General features: G+C 39.2%; 1 protein-coding gene and 1 pseudogene across 2 annotated transcripts in view; one reads left to right on the top strand and one right to left on the bottom strand.

The window, feature by feature from the left end:
* The window catches only part of KNL1 (kinetochore scaffold 1), a 70,094-nt gene that overhangs the window by 35,193 nt on the left and 17,924 nt on the right, over window positions 1-16,977 (bottom strand). For both annotated transcript variants that reach the window (NM_170589.5, NM_144508.5), the window contains 5 exons: window positions 13,772-13,809; window positions 10,139-10,191; window positions 3,510-8,510; window positions 942-1,080; window positions 472-539 (listed from right to left, as the gene is read on the bottom strand). In NM_170589.5, the coding sequence (NP_733468.3) occupies window positions 472-539; window positions 942-1,080; window positions 3,510-8,510; window positions 10,139-10,191; window positions 13,772-13,809 (5,299 nt within the window). The remainder of the gene's footprint in view (window positions 1-471; window positions 540-941; window positions 1,081-3,509; window positions 8,511-10,138; window positions 10,192-13,771; window positions 13,810-16,977) is intronic.
* On the top strand, window positions 13,222-13,485 carry RN7SL376P (RNA, 7SL, cytoplasmic 376, pseudogene; annotated as a pseudogene).

Genomic DNA, 16,977 nt, shown 5'->3' with positions numbered 1-16,977 from the left:
CTGCAGGCTATACATGAGCAGATTTTATCTAAGATCATTTCTTAAGGTTATTGAATAACAAATAGAGTTTTAAAAATCCCAAAACCCAAAAGATACATCATTTTTTTCTCTTTTTTTGAGACAAGACCTTGCTCTGTCACCCAGCCTGGGGTACAGTTGTGTGATCATGGCTCACTGCAGCCTTGAACTCCTGGGCTCAAGTGATTCTCTTCCCTCAGGCACCATGTTGCTGAGATAACAGGCATGAACCACCATGCCCGGCCAAAACAAATACCTTTTAATCATGACTTCTACTCCATTTAATTAATTGTTATGTTGGATCTTTAACAAAGAAAAGTAGTCTTCTGTATATTTGAAATATTTCGTAATTAAAAAAAATTTTTTAAACCAAGAATATTACGTGTATTAGAAATGAGACGTTTAAACCTCTTTTCTTTATAAATAAAAAAAAGAAAAAGAATTTTAACATACCTCCCTCAAGCTCTCTTCACAAATAGTATCTCTGAGAAACTGTGATTCCATTTGACTACTGCGGTAAGCTAGAAGTAAAGCAAATTCTGGTGACGAACAAGTCAAAACTAAACTGTGAACTTAATTGTGGTTATCATTCAGATTGTTTCTGATCCTGAAGCTACCCATTGGGATCTTTCTGGGAAGACAGTCATGTAGCAGGGCAAAGTATATTATAGTTTTAAGGCTCCAGTGTTTCTCCACTAATTATAAGCCCATGAAGGAAATCACTCTATTTCTCTGTAGTATGTCACTTCTCAGTGCATTACAAACTAAGAATTAAAAATAAACTAAATATTATTTTACTGATCAACTTTTTATAACCCCAAAAAGGCATATACAACATTCAAATATTTCCTGAACTGAAAACTACTTATTATTAGTTAAGTAAGCAGATGGCTGCTATTATTTAGCCTTCATGAAGCTCTTACTGCTGAAGTCCAGAGAGGTCCCATCAGCCTTGATTGAATCCAGAGAGCTGCTGCAACTAGATGGGGTCCTGCTCAGGTTTTTTATCAATACACTGTTAGCACTTTTATCTATATCCTCTTCAGTATGGTGATCAAAAATCTGAAATTGTCAATTAAGGAATATCATCAGAATAAAATATACACTGTATACTTACGACAAACACTAACAGAAATACTACTTCTAACATACAATTAATCTATAATTCATATGAAATATCTTAGTGAAGAATTAGAATAAGTAACAAACATCTTAAGCCTTTAATTAGAGTTAAAAGTAATTTTATTGAAAATTACTCTATGGATTATACTGTGTATGCAAATTATTTCTCATTATATATCTAAGTTATAATCAGATCCTGTAAGCTATCAAATGTTCACCTATCCAATTATTCAACTACTAGCCACCAACAGCAGGGCAACCACACTGCAGAAAACCAGACTAGAATATTGGCTGTATGTGGTGGCCCTGGCTAGAGTCCAGACAATAAACTTATTTCCAGGCTTTACTACTTTCCTCCCCAGCTGACCAAGACTTCTTTAGCTGAATAAGTTATGTGGTCCTGCTTTTACTATTTTAACCATTTGACTTCACAGCTTTAAATGCCATCTTCATCTATCTTCTTACATGCTTTTGGTAAGTTTTTTTTTTTTTTTTTGAGGCGGAGTCTCACTCCGTTGCCCAGGCTGGAGTGCACTGGCGTGATCTCGGCTCACTGCAAGCTCCACCTCCCGGGTTCACGCCATTCTCCTGCCTCAGTCTCCTGAGTAGCTGGAACTACAGGTGCTCGCCACCATGCCTGGCTAATTTTTTGTATTTTTAGTAGAGACAGGGTTTCACCGTGTTAGCCAGGATGGTCTTGATCTCCTGATCTCGTGATCAACCTGCCCTGGCCTCCCAAAGTGCTGGGATTATAGGCATGAGCTACCGCGCCTGGCTGAAAACAATATATTCTTTTATGTAAATGCTATTAAGGGGGCTGGGCGCTGTGGCTCACGCCTGTAACCCCAACATTGTGGGAGGCTAAGGAAGGTGGATCACTTGAGATCAGGAGTTTAAGACCAGCCTGGCCAACATTGTGAAACCCTGACTCTACTGAAAATACAAAGATTAGCCGGGTGTGGTGGCACATGCCTGTAATCCCAGCTACTCAGGAGGCCAAGGCAGGAGAATCGCTTGAACCTGGGAGGCGGAGGTTGCAGTGAGCTGAGATCACGCCACTGTGCTCCAGCCTGGGCAACAGAGCAAGACTTAATCTCAAAACAAAACAAAAATAAATAAATAAACGCCATTATGGGCCGTGGTGGCTTATGCCTGTAATCCCAGCACTCTGGGAGGTCGAGGTGGGTGGGTCACTTGAGGCCAGGAGTTTGAGACCAGCCTGGCCAACGTGGTGAAACCTCGTCTCTACTAAAAATACAAAAATTAGCTGGGCATTGTGGTGTGCACCCGTACTCCCATCTACTTGGGAGGCTGAGACACGACAATCACTTGAACCAGGGAGATGGAGGTTGCAGTGAGCCGAGATCGCGCCACTGCACTCCAGCCTGGGCAACAGAGCGAGGGTCTGTCTCAAAAATAAATAAATGAATAAATATTATGTAAACTCCATGACAGCAGATTTTTCTCTGCATTCCCAGCACATAAAACAGTGCCTAAGACATAGCAGATAATCTATATATTTATCGAAAATAGAATGCAGGCTGGACGTGGTGGCTCACTCCTGTAATATCAGGACTTTGGCAGGCCAAGGTGGGTGGATCACCTGAGATCAGGAGTTCGAGACCAGCCTGGCCAACATGGGGAAACCCAATCTCTACTAAAAATACAAAAAAAAAAAAAAAGAAAGAAATTAGCCGGGTGTGGTGCCAGGCACCTGCAATCCTAGCTACTCGGAAGGCTGAGGCAGGAGAATCACTTGAACCCAGAAGGCAGAGGTTGCAGTGAGCTGAGATCACACAACTGCACTCCAGCCTGGGCAACAGAACAAGACTCTGTCTCAAAAATAAAATAAAATAAAAATAAAATTAAATAATAAAGAAAATGGACTCTCAACTTCTACATATCCTTGTCAGCCAAGGAAATTCAGTCAAGCTTTACTTCATGCAGTTGGCAAAATAAAAAGCTTTTTACTCCCCAAATATAACAACACTGAAGATGACTTTTCAAGCTATATATAACCTCCCTAGAGATTCTTATATAAAGCCAAATTGACAAATCACTAGAGGTGACAGTATACATACCTTTTGAAATTTTTGAAATTATACAATTTTAACTTTGGCTACTTTTTGTACAATTTTCCATTTAATTTTTTTGTGACTATTTGTCACTTTAAATTGCTTTGAAGTCTAGCTGTTAGTCAATTAATTTCTGAAGGTTCTACATAAGAATATTTCTCCAGCCCTCTAAGTGGAAATAATTATTTTCTGCCTACCCGAGACTAAGATTAAAATTTGAGAATACCCACAATTTAAGAAAACAAAACAAAACCCAAAATTCAAGAACATTCTTTGGTTCAAGACAGAGCTCACCTCCCGATCTTGTGTCGTATCACTAAACTTAATCTCATTTTTTCTGATTTTTTTCTCCTTATGAATATCTTCTTCTTCTTGTACCCACGTTCTTTTTTGGCTATTGCAAGTTTTTCCCATTTTATTTTCATATGGTGAAATCTCTTTTTGGTATGTCTCAATCAAGGCCTTTTCCTCAGTTTCTATGTTAATAGAGTCTGAAGAATTGATCTCATCAGGATATACAGGAAGATTTTCCTCATTTATATATTGAGAAGGACTTAGGTTCAGTTTACCTGCAACAGATCCAATGCCTGAATCTTTGCTAGAGACCGGCTGAGTTTCTAAGTGATTTATATCAGTTGTGTCTGCTGGAATCTGTTCCAGGTCATCAATACCAGTGACACTACAATTTCTCTTGTTGGGCAATCTAGGCAAAAAGATTCCCAAAGAACATCTCCTTACTTTATCTTTAAAAACTGTCTTTGGCGGTAGAGAGGTGGTTTCAGCTCCATTATGAGACTTTTTATTTTCCTCATCTCTACTATCTTTAGCATTGCTGGAGATTATGTTAATATTATGTATTTCTGTAGCTTGCACTATATGCATATCATTGTGTGCCTTATTTCCTAATTCAAGTAATTGCTCTGGAAGGGGTGGTAGATGAACAGTTTGAAAGGCTAAAAACTCTCCAGTTTTTCCATTCAAATTATTCAGATTTGGTTTGATACTATGAAAACATGGAACATTAGATGTAATTACAGGATCTGGTGCTTCTCCAGCATTGACATGAGTTTGAATGACTTGCTTAGTTACGTCTGAGTTACTGTGGAAATCTAGAGCTGTATTATAGTTAGTTGTTTGAATATTTTCCTTCAGTTCTTTTTTACAGGCTGCAGCAAACCATTCCTCACTATTGAGTATTTTGGGCTTGTTTTCACATATGGGTGCAGAGGAATTTTCTATAATATTTAAACTCTTATTTCCAGCTTTAGACAGTATTACTTCTTCTTTATTGATACTACTCTGTCCTTTTTTAGGTAATGGAGGTTGGTCGGTTGAGAAATGAGGCTGAGGAATAACATAAATGTCATCAACATAGACTTTCATTTGATCCTTTGGAAGCTTAAAAGATACTCGCTTTGAATTAAGTTTAGTCATCTCCCCCAGATCTTGACTATATACTAAAGTTTGATTAGCCAATAGATTTCGTGGATCCTTAATCAGATCTTGATCTTTGTGCAGTGTTATAACACAGTCTAACTGTCCTTTGGTACTGGTTTGAATAACTTCTTCCTTCTCTAACAAAGGACAAGGAGCAGAGAGAGGCTGTCCCTCAGATTCCAAGTAATATTCACTGGCAAAATCATTTGCATAAGCAAGATCATTTTGCACTGGGCAATAATTGGCTTTTTCCTCATCTTTATCACATAAGAGCATGGCACTACCCTCCAAATTATCAGTACAGGAAATAACATTTGGTAAACAGGAATAATTATCACTGGATCCACAAACAGCAGTTGCATGACTACTTGTAAAGTCCACATTTCTTCTATCTCTATTATTTAACTGACAGCTTTCAACTTGCGCTTTTTCCAATGTACAGGCCTGGTCTACAACTTTCCCTATGACCTTTTCATCCATAGCAGCACTATGAAATTTGATGATTTCATTAGTAGTTCTATTAGTAGCAGCAAAGAGTTGTTGCTTTTGCTCGGTGTGAAGAACTATTTTGTTTCCTACAGCCAGTGCTTGTTTTTCAGCGATTTCTTGAACACAGCTATTATCCTTAGGAAAGGAAACACCCAAGTTTTTTCCTTTTCCTATTCCAAATTTAGGGTTTTCTTCAAGTATTTTCTCTGTGGCTTGACAGTCAATGAAAACAGTATGGGAATCGGTGACTTCCAGATCACTGTAATTATCTGTGAACAATACGGTTTTGTCCATGGGCCTAATAGCTATTTCATTTGGCAGGAGAGTTTTACATTCTAAGGCAGTTGTGTGACTCCTAGTGATCTCCATGTCATCCTGCCCACATGAATACAAAATAGTTTTAGAAGCCCCTGCCAAATGGAAGTCCTCTTTATCCTCCAGGGCACTTTCGTTATCTATTTCCACCATACAACTCTGGGTAATATCCATATCATTTTTATGATTCTCTGAAAATACAATGGTCTTGTCATTTTTTAGCTTAAGGCTTTTTCTTCTCTGACTTTTGCTTGATAGAGGTTCATTCAGAAATCCAGGACTTTGTACATCTTTGATGTTTTTGCAAGTGGCTGATTTAGACAATTCCATGTTATCAGCTACCTCTACAGGGCCCCTATTATTAGACCATTCCTCCAGAGGGGTTAGCTGGCTGTCATTTGCTACTAGACGGTCACTTTCACCATTTCCTGGAAAGAAAACACTCTCCTCAGTAGGAGTACATATCACTGTTGGTGTTCCTAGGCTTTTCCTTTGGGATAGTTCAAAGTTAGGTCTGTCTGTTCTTTCCTTTTCTTGGTAGTCAATGAAAACAGTATGGGACTCTGTCATTTCTAGTTCAACATGATTATCTACAAACACTACAGTTTTGTCCATAGGCCTAGTAGTTATTTCATCTGGTGAGACAGTTTTACATTCTAAGGCAGTTGTGTGACTTCTAGTGATCTCCATGTCATCCTGCCTACATGTATATAAAATAGTTTCAGAAGTTCCTGCCAATGGCACCAAATGACAATCACGTTTCTCTAATAAAGGTCTATGGTTTATTTCTATTGTATAACTCTTAGTGATATCCATATCATTCTTATCGTCTTCTGAAAATACAATAGTCTTATCAATTTTTGGTCCACCAACACTTTTCCTTCCCCAAATTTTGACATTTTGCTTTTCCTTTGGAAATTTAGGTTTCTGTACACTTTCGTCCTCTAACACATCCATAATACAGTTAGATTTAAGCACTCCACTTTTTTCTATGGGACTTTTACCACATTTTTCAACTTTTACAGCTATCTGTCTGTTCATTGTTGTTAGCTGGCCAGTAGTGTGTTCTAAATTAGTTTTACCAAGTTCTTGTAGTTCAGAAGGACCAAATCCAATGACGACAGTGTGGCTCTTTGTTAGATCCATATTTTGCTCTTCCTCTGAACATATAATCATCTTGTCATGGCAATAGTCAGGTGTGGGATTGCTTAAACTTTTCCTCAGTGGCTCAGCCAGTTTAGAATTCTGGCCTAGTACAGATTTCACTGTATGACTACTTATAGCAGTATCATGATTTTTCATAGAGAACTGTCCTGATGAAAATAATGGCTTTGTGGTAGAAAACAAAGATTGTTCCCATGATACTGTATTTCTATTAGTTATTTGTTTATCAAGAACTCCACCACAGTAGACTATATTATGGCTTGTTGCTATCTCCTGATTACAATCAGCTGACTGAGGAGAATCTTTATCAAGGTAGGGCAAAATCTTCAAAACCCAATCTTTGTCTTTGTTCCAGGTGTCGGTTAAGCTGTTTTTGGCTATTATGTCTGATCGCTGAAATGGTTCATTACGACTTTTGGTAATTTCTTCACATTCATCTGAAGAGCTTTTGCTCTGAGAGTGAGATTCACTGGTACTCTCCGGTGCTAGATTATAAGCTGCAAGAGGAACCTGACTTCCTAAGTTACTTGTGTGACTTTCAGTCAAATCCATATTTTCACCTGATAAGAGTTCAGTCTTTCTATCAGTCAATGAAATAGACAAAGGATTTGACAGGCTCTGCTGTATTCTTTCCTTAGATACATGAGGAACTGAGTTACAATTTACATTCATTTTCCCATCTTCTGATGTGGTCATAAGATTTTGGAGCATCATTTCTTTTTCGGGTGTTGGTGCAGCTGCTATTTGCACATTTGATTGATCTTGTTTAAAAATTTGATTATCTATTGCAACTGTATGACTCTTGGTAATGTCCATGTTCTCCTCTCCGGAATAAATAGTTTTCTCTGTGAGAGAAGACATAGCATCTGGATTGCAATACATTTTAGCATAATTACTGTCATGCTTTAGCAAATTTTTCTCCTCTCTCATATTTGAGAGACATTTGGTCATTTCCATGGCATCATTACAACTAGAATAGAAAACAGTCTTACAACCTTGAATAGATGGATTAGAATATATAGATTCTGGGGTCATGGCTAATATTCTGGCATCCTGATTACAAGTCTGTGAGACTATGTGAGTTTCTGCCCCCATAATATGACTTCTGGTAATATGTATTTTGTCTGCAGAGTTTATGGAAAGGTCTTGAAAAGCAGTATTTTGTTTACTCTTAAAAACTGTTTTATTTCCTGAAGCTTTAGTTCCATAACCTGTTGTTACATCCATGGCATTCTGAGTTTGATTTTCTATTTCAGAAAAATTACCTGTTGCAGGTAAGATCTGCAAAGTGTGGTTAAATGTCAAGTCCATAAAGTCATTGCCATAAATTGTAATATCATTACCTTTAGATTCCCGTGAGTTGGTCTCACTGGATGTGGGAATCAATGTCTGAATATTGGCTGTATGACACTGGGTGAAATTCATCCCATCATCTTTTTCTCTAAAGAGCCTAGTAATATTACTGTTATTTTCATCTTCCTTAAGAGATACATGCATTTGATGTGTAGAAGAGGCACTGTTCGGTTCCTTGGAATAAATAGGTATCTCAAAATTTTCTTTATCAGGCACATCAGGAAAAGCACTACATTTTCCTGTTTTCAATCTTTTTATGAAGTCATTGAAATCTATTTTATTTTCTGAAGAAGTGTTTTGATCCACGGAAAAATTTACTTCTTTTTTCATTCTTGAGTCCTCGGTGTGAAGCTTTAAATTAGCTAGAAATGATGTGGTATCTATCTTGGTGGACTTTTCACTTATGGGATTATCTAAAAGGCCTTTGGTAATCATTACAGTGTGACTTGATGTCAGGTCCATCTGGTTTTCATCTGAAAAAATGACTGTCTGGTCATTTGCATGTTTCCTTTCACGGGTATGTTCTATAATTGAAAACTATAATGAAAGCAAAATATAAGAGATCAGAACAAAAGCAAACTTTTAAAAAGGCATTTTACAACATGTATTATATAAAAAATCCTCAGTGATGGTTTCATAACACGTTGGTTTGCTTGAATCAATGGTGTAGCATGTTGCATATAATTTGTCATTAAAAATTATTCTTGGGAAGCCGAGGTGGGTGGATCACGAGGGCAGGAGATCGAGACCATCCTGGCTAACATGGTGAAACCCCGTCTCTACTAAAAAATACAAAAAAGAAAATAAGCCAGGCATGGTGGCGGGCACCTGTAGTCCCAGCTACTCGGGAGGCTGAGGCAGGAGAATGGTGTGAACCTGGGAGGCGGAGCTTGCAGCGAGCTGAGATTGCACCACTGCCTGGGCAACAGAGCAAGACTCTGTCTCAAAAAAAAAAAAAAATTATTCTAGGCTAGGCACAGTGGCTCACGCCTGTAATCCAAGCACTTTGGAAGGCTGAGGCAGGGGGATTGCCTGAAGCCAGGAGTAACAAAGTAAGATCCTGTCTCTACAAAAAATTATAAAAATTAGGCACAGTGGTGCATGCCTGTTGTCCTAGCTACTAGGAAGGCTGAGGTGGGAGGACTGCTCGAGTCCAGGAGTTTGAGCTGTCATAGGCTAGGATCACACCATTGCACTCCAACTTCGGCAACAGAGTAATACCCAATCTATTAGGAAAAGAAAAAGAAATCTAAAGTCTGCGAGTAATTTACTTTTTAGTGTTTTGGGACAAATTAAAAATTCAAGGTTAATTATACACCCACTAGAATGACTAAAAAATTAAAAACACTGACAGCACCAAATGTAAACATGACAAAAATTCTAATTACTATATTGAATAGGTCATTCTTATCCTAAATTTTAAAAGTCTAGGAAAGACATAAGCCCATGATGGCTAATCTATATTACATTCTAGACTGGGCTTGGTGGCTCACACTTGTAATCCCAGCACTTTGAGAAGCCAAGGCAGAAAGATCCCTTGAGCCCAGGAGTTCAAGACCAGCCTGGGCAACAGAGTGAGACCTTGTCTCTACAAAAAAATGAACAAAATTAGCTAGGCATGGTGGCATGCACCTGTAGTCCCAGCCACTCAGGAGGCTGAGGTGGGAGGATCGCTTCAGCCCAGAAGATTGAGGCTGCAATGAGCCAAGATTGTGCCACTGCACTCCAGCCTGGGCAACAGTGTAAGACTGTGTCTAACAACAACCAAAAAAAATCCTTCTTGTAGGAGATAGCCTAAAATATATATATATATATATATATTACACTGTGTGCTACAACAGTTTTCTCAGTGAGGACACAGATTAACTCTTTGCTACTGAAAGTATGGCCTATGGACTTGTGTACTAGTATCACTAAGGAAATAGAAATAAAGACTCATGTGCTCTTTAAACTTTGAGAGGTACTGGTATACTGTATCTCCCATTACTTAAACTGGCTGTGACTTAACTATCCTTAAGTTAACTGGAAAGGTAGGAAGCCTTTCCAGTTTATGCTGATTCATTTTTTTAAGTCATCCCTAAACTATGCCATTATCATTGAATTGTGTTTTCTGTTTTAACAATCAAATGACATTACAATATGAAGGTATTTGCATGAACTCATACCTCCTTCTGTTGCATCTGGGTATGAATGGGAGCAGAAAGCAATGTGTTCATCCCTATTTAGAAAAAAGAAAAAACTGTAGTCAGAAAATATAACACTGAGCCTGATTTTCCTTTTCTTAGGTTCTTCATCAGTTACAAGTATTTACTAGAATTTACCAGTAACTAAGCCCTTAAGAACTTACGTATTAAATTTTTTTAATTTTTTAAAAATTGATACATCATTGTTGTACATATTTTTGTGTTACATGTGATATTTTGATACTTGTATACATTGTGTAATGATCAAATCAGGGTAACTGGAATATCCACCACCTCAAACATTTATCTTTTGTGTTGGGAACATATAAAATTTCATAAGACTTAATTATCCTATGTTAGTGACAGAGAGACCAATAATTATTGTATCCTCTGTGTGGCTGAAATATTTTTATAATGTGGTGGTGATTTTAAAGATGGAAAGTTTGGACTACTACTTATTATTATTATTATTATTCACTTCTCTATTTTTATTTCCTGGATAGTAGAAGTCCCATGGAGAAGAGTATCAAATGATGAGACTGAAAGGTTAGGGTAGGATTCTGAAGGGTCTTTTATTCTATGTTAAGGAATCTAGATATTCCCATGATAAGACACATGTGCTTTATAAAAATAATCCCATTATAAAATATAATGCATTTTAGAAAAATAGTAAAAAGTAATAAGGAGAAGTTGATTCAAGAGAAGATAAACCAATAAGGAAGTTACTACAATAGTTCAGATTAACGCAAGAGGTCATGTTAGGGCAACAGAGCAATGAAAATGGAAATAAAGGATTAGACTCAAGACTTATTTTAGAACTACAAATCAGACTTTGTAAATAAGGAAGGGATTCAAAAGGCTATATTAAAACAGGAAATACATTTAAAAATACTTACATTTAAAGTTTAAAGGCAAATCTTTAGAACACATTAAAGAATGTATGACGAGCTTGAGTACATATAATGAAATAATTATAAGCTTTTTTTTTTTTTTTTTTTTTTTTTTTTTTTTTTTTTTTACTAAAAGCCTTATTTATATTTCAGGCTTCCATTCATTTTTTCAACAAATGTTGGTTCAGAACCTATTACATGAAAAAACAAAACAAACAAACGAACACACCTCAAATGTCTACTAAGGTATAAAGAAGAACAAGACAAAATTTCTGAATTTCTGGACTCTCAGAGATGGTAGTTCAGGCTATTCTGAGCACACTGCCTATGGGGTAGCTGTGCTCCTCAAGGAGGAGTATCTCCCACCGCCTGCAAAAAAAGTTTGGCCTCTTTAATAAGACAGCCAGAAATACTTAAAGTACAATGTGATAAATTCTAAAATATACTGAAAAATAAAAGAGGTGTTATGGGAGCACAGAACATCTGACTAACTCCTTAGTTTTGCCAGAGAGGGTTCCATTTAAGCCAGTGCTACTTGAAGTATGGTGCCAGACTGTGAACTGCTTGTTACCTATTCATAACGAGATAAGGAGCTGGCGGCAAACATAAATCATATAATAATAATTGCTAGGAAAAAAGTGTAAACTAAACTAAACTGTGGCTTAATGCCACAGTTAAGGCACATTATGGTACAAATTCCTTTTCTGTCATGGACTGAGCAGTTAGTTTGTGGACTGGACACTTTGGATAGCACTGAAGTTAAACTAAGTGAAGTGAAAAATGAGAAGCCTGATAGGCAAACTGGAGTAGAAAGATCACTTTAGATAGAGAAAATAGCATTTATAAATGCATATAGGGGCTGAGTGCGGAGGCTCACGCCTGTAATCCAAGCACTCTGGAGGCCAAGGCGGTGGATCATCTGAGGTCAGGAGTTTGAGACCAGCCTGGCCAACATGGTGAAACCCCATCTCTACTAAAAATACAAAAATCAGCTCGGCCTGGTGGCACGTGCCTGTAATCCCAGCTACTCGGGAGGCTGAGGCAGGAAAATCGCTTGAACCTGGGAGGCGGAGGTTGCAGTGAGCCAAGATCGCACCACCTCACTTCAGCCTGGGTGACAGAGTGAGACTCCGTCTCAAAAAAATAAAATGAAATAAAATGAAAAATAAATGCATATAGGCAGAAAAAGAGTTTATATAGTGAACTGCAAATAATTCATCATGGGCTAGAGCATGGGATACCTATATAATGGGTAGGAGATAAGTTTGGAGAAGAAAACAGGCCAAGTGATAAAGGACATTCTAACTCATTGCTAAGGAGTATGGGCTTTATTCTGTAAGCAAAACAGTGTCATTGAACCATTTTAAGCTGGGAGGTAACATAATCAAATTTAGAAATATGGAGAATGGATTGGAAGGATAAGAAATGAAATACAGTAGCCCAAGAAAAAATAATAACAACTTGAATTAAAGCAGTCACAGAAGGAATACAGAATAGGTAACGATTTTCAAGACATTTAGGAGACAAAACAGAAAGTAGGCCAAATGGCCATTAGACATAAAGGAAGAATTGAAAATGACTTCTTGATTCCTGACTTCAGTGAATGACTGAATGAGTGGGAGTCCAAGACAGAGAAAACAGGAGAAACAGCAGGTTTGAAAGAAGTAACAGTGAGTTGGCTGGGTGCAGTGGCTCATACCTATAATCCCAGCACTTTGGGAGGCCGAGGCGGGTGGATCACCTGAGGTCAGGAGTTTGAGAGCAGCCTGGCCAACATGGAGAAACCCTGTCTCTACTAAAAATACAAAAAAAATTAGCTGGGTGTAGTGGTGGGCACCTGTAATCCCAGCTACTCAGGAGGCTGAGGCAAGAGAATTGCTTGAACCCGGGAGGTAGAGGCTGCAGTGAGCCCAGATTGCACCACTGCACCCCAGCCTGGACAACAAGAATGAAAATTCATCTCAAAAAAAAAAAAAAAGAAGTAATAGTGAGCCTGTGAAATTTTAAATTGAAGACAATGTGTAAAGAACAAAGCCCTGGGCCAGGCGCGGTGGCTCACACCTGTAATCCCAGCACTTTGGGAGGCCAAGGCGGTTAGATCACGAGGGTAGCAGTTCGAGACCAGCCTGACCAACATGGTAAAACCCTGTCTCTACTAAAAATACAAAAAAATTAGCTGGGCGTGGTGGCGGGCGCCTGTAATCCCAGCAACTTGGGAGGCTGAGGCAGGAGAATTGCTTGAAACCAGAAGGCGGAGGTTGCAGTGAGCTGAGATTGTGCCACTGCACTAGCCTGGGCAATAAGAGCAAAACTCCATCTCAAAAAGAAAAAAAAAAAAAAAGAACAAAGCTCTGTTTGGAGCCATTGCTGGAGTGCAGTGGCGCGATCTCAGCTCACTGCAATCTCCGCCTCCTGGGTTCAAGCGATTCCCCTGCCTCAGCCCCGAGTAGCTGGGACTACAGGAGCGCACCACCACGCCCAGCTACTTTTTTGTATTTTAGTAGAGACTGGGTTTCACCATGTTGGCCAGGATGGTCTCGATCTCCCGACCTCGTGATCTGCCTGCCTCAGCCTGCCAAAATACTGGGATTACAGGCGTGAGCACCGTGCCTGGCCTCTGTTTGCTTTTTTTTCGTGGTTCATGGTTTCTTGTACATAATAGTGATCAAGAAACCTAGATGAATAGACTATCTTACTATAAGAAAAGTATTCTAGTCATACTCACCAGTAATTTCACAGTAATTATCTTCTAATTTCTTATTCCTAAAAATTAAAAAGTATTTTTATAATCTATACCCCAAACAATTACCAAGAATCTTTCAATAACAGCTGAAAGAGTACAGAAGGTGAAAGACTTTCATAGAATGACTAGCAGAAAATTATAAAGACATCTTTTTAAAAAAGACTCATCTAATGCAGAAAATTATAAAGACATCTTTTTAAAAAAAGACTCATCTAATACTGGCTGAAGGAATTACAAGGCAACTAAAGGATACTTTTCAGATTGGTCTTAATGGTTTGCTAATTTCAAGAATATTATCAGCCAGCCGTGGTGGCTCACATCTGTAATCCCAACACTTTGGGAGCGTGAAGTGGGAGGATCACTTGAGACCTGAAGTCCAGGGCTGCAATGAACTATAATCATGTCACTGCACTCCAGCCTGGGTGACAGAGTGAGACCCCATCTCAAAAAAATAAACTAGAAAAATATGCTTAATATATACTGCTTGCTTATTTTTTCAAAAAATGACCTATAAAGCAATTCCTTTTCTAAAACTTGAGCCTTAAAACAAAAAGTACATGAAAGAAACCACTCAAGTGTCCATCAATAGGGAGTTCACTAAATGTTGGTGCAGCCATACAAGAGATTGTAACAGACTGAGGTAAATCTTTATGTAATAACATAGAAAGTGCTATAAGACATATTACTAGGCAATCCCATTTTTGTCTTGTTTAAAAAAATAAAAGCTAAACATGCACTTGGACATACAAAAAAAATTTCTGCAAGTACACCAAAAATTGTCAACAGTGGTTATCTGTAAGGAGTGAGTCACCTGAAGAAGAGGGAATAGGCTGGGTGTGGTGGCTCACGTCTGTAATCCCATCACTTTGGGAGGCCAAGGCAGGCAGATCACCCGAGGTCAGGAGTTTGAGACTAGCTTGGCCGACATGGTGAAACACCGCTTCTACTAAAAATACAAAATTAGGCCGGGTGTGGTGGCTCATGCCTAAAATCCCAGCACTTTGGGAAGCCAAGGCAGGCAGATAAACTGAGGTCAGGAGTTCGAGACCAGCCTGGCCAACGTGGTGAAACCCCATCTCTACTAAAAATACAAAAATTGGCTGGGCGTGGTGGTGTGCACCTGTAGTCCCAGGTACTCGGGAGGCTGAGGCAGGAGAATTGCTTGAACCCATGAGGCGGAGGTTGCAGTGAGCCAAGATTAGGCCACTGCACTCCAGCCTGCACAACAGAGCAAGACTCCATCTCAAAAAAAAAAAAAAGGGGGGCCAGGCGTGGTGGCTCACGCCTGTAATCCCAGCACTTTGGGAGGCCGAGGCGGGTGGATCACAAGGTCAGGAAATTGAGACCATCCTGGCTAACACAGTGAAACCCTGTCTCTACTAAAAATACAAAAAAATGAGCCAGGCGTGGTGGCAGGCGCCTGTAGTCCCAGCTACTAGGGAGGCTGAGGCAGGAGAATGGCGTGAAACCAGGAGGCGGAGCTTGCAGTGGGCCGAGATGGCGCCACTGCACTCCAGCCTGGGTGACGGAGCGAGACTCTATCTCAAAATAAAATAAAATAAAATAAAATAATAAAAATAAAATAAATTAGCCAGGTGTAGTGGTGCACACCTGTAGTCCTAGCTACTCAGGAGGCTGAGGCAGGAGAATTGCTTGAACCCAGGAGGCTGAGGTTGCAGTGAGCCAAGATCATGCCATTATACTCCAGTCTGGCCAACAAGAGCGAAACCCCGTCTCACAAAAAAGAAAGAAGAGGGAAAGAGGGAATAATTTTTACTTTTCAATGTATATACTTCTGTACCTTTTTATTTAAAAAATTATTTTTCCTTTAAGTTCTGTTGGAGTTGATTCTGTACCTTTTCTAAACCATGACTACTATTACTTCCATTTCTTCGTTTCAACAATTTTAAGAATGTAATAGGTAATACTTTCATATGGTTTTAAATTAATAAACCACAAAGCCAACATGTAACCTATAGCAAGGTTCTTTTCTCTGTAGGCAATCTTACTAGTTTCTTCCAGAGATATTATGCATATATATGCATAAGTCACTACATATACATACATTATACATGTACACACACGAGAAGATACACACACACACACACGCTTTTCTTCTTCCCTGTTTTACCCAAGTGGTAATACATGATATACTTTGTTTTGCGTCTTGCTTTTTATCTTAAGTAATATAGCTTAGAGATTTCTCTATTTAGCATAAAATTTTTTTTCCGGCTGCATAGTCAATTATATGGAAAATGTACAATTTATTTAACCAGGCCCTTACTGATGGACCTTCAGGACCTTTCACAACGTTTACTATTATAATAAACGCTGCTGTGAATAACCTTATCTATTCATCATTTCAAACATTTACACGTATATTGGTGAGATAATTTCCAGACATAAAACTGAAGTCAAAGGGCATGTGCATTTAAAATTCTGAACGATATTACCAAGTTGCCTTCTACAAATTATACTCCCACTAGCACGGAGTGACTTTTTACCTATTTCCTTAACTGACTGGATAAAAATATCTCTTTTTTAGGCCAGGCACAGTGGCTCACGCCTGTAATCCCAGCACTTTAGGAGGCCAAAGTGGGCGGATCACGAGGTCAAGAGACCAAGACAATTCTGGCCAACATGGTGAAACCCCGTGTCTACTAAAAATACAACAAAATTAGCCAGGCGTGGTGGCAGGCGCCTGTAGTCCCAGCTACTCGGGAGGCTGAAGCAGGAGAATCACTTGAACCCAGGAGGCGGAGGTTGCAGAGAGCCAAGATCGTACCATTGCACTCCAGCCTGGCGACAGAGGAAGATGCCGTCTAAACAACAAACAAACAACAACAACAGCAAAAAAACCTCTTTTTTGGAGACAGAGTCTCGCTCTGCTGCCCAGGTTGGAGTGCAGGGGCATGATCTCAGCTCACTGCAACCTCCGCCTCCCGGGTTCAAGCGATTCTCGTGCCTTGGCCTCCTGAGTAGCTGGGATTACAGGCACAGTGCCACCATACCTGGCTAATTTTTTGGGGTTTTTTTTGTTTTTTTGAGACGGAGTCTCGCTCTGTCGCCCAGGCTGGAGTGCAGTGGCATGATCTCGGCTCACTGCAACCTCTACCTCCCAGATTCAAGTGATTCTCCTACCTCAACCTCCTGAGTAGCTGGGACTACAGGCGCCCACCACAACACCT

This window comes from Homo sapiens, chromosome 15, assembly GCF_000001405.40.
Source record: "Homo sapiens chromosome 15, GRCh38.p14 Primary Assembly".
In the NCBI taxonomy this organism is placed as follows: domain Eukaryota; kingdom Metazoa; phylum Chordata; class Mammalia; order Primates; family Hominidae; genus Homo; species Homo sapiens.
Note: the sequence above shows the minus strand (reverse complement) of the source record. Positions and strands in the feature narration are given on the sequence as shown.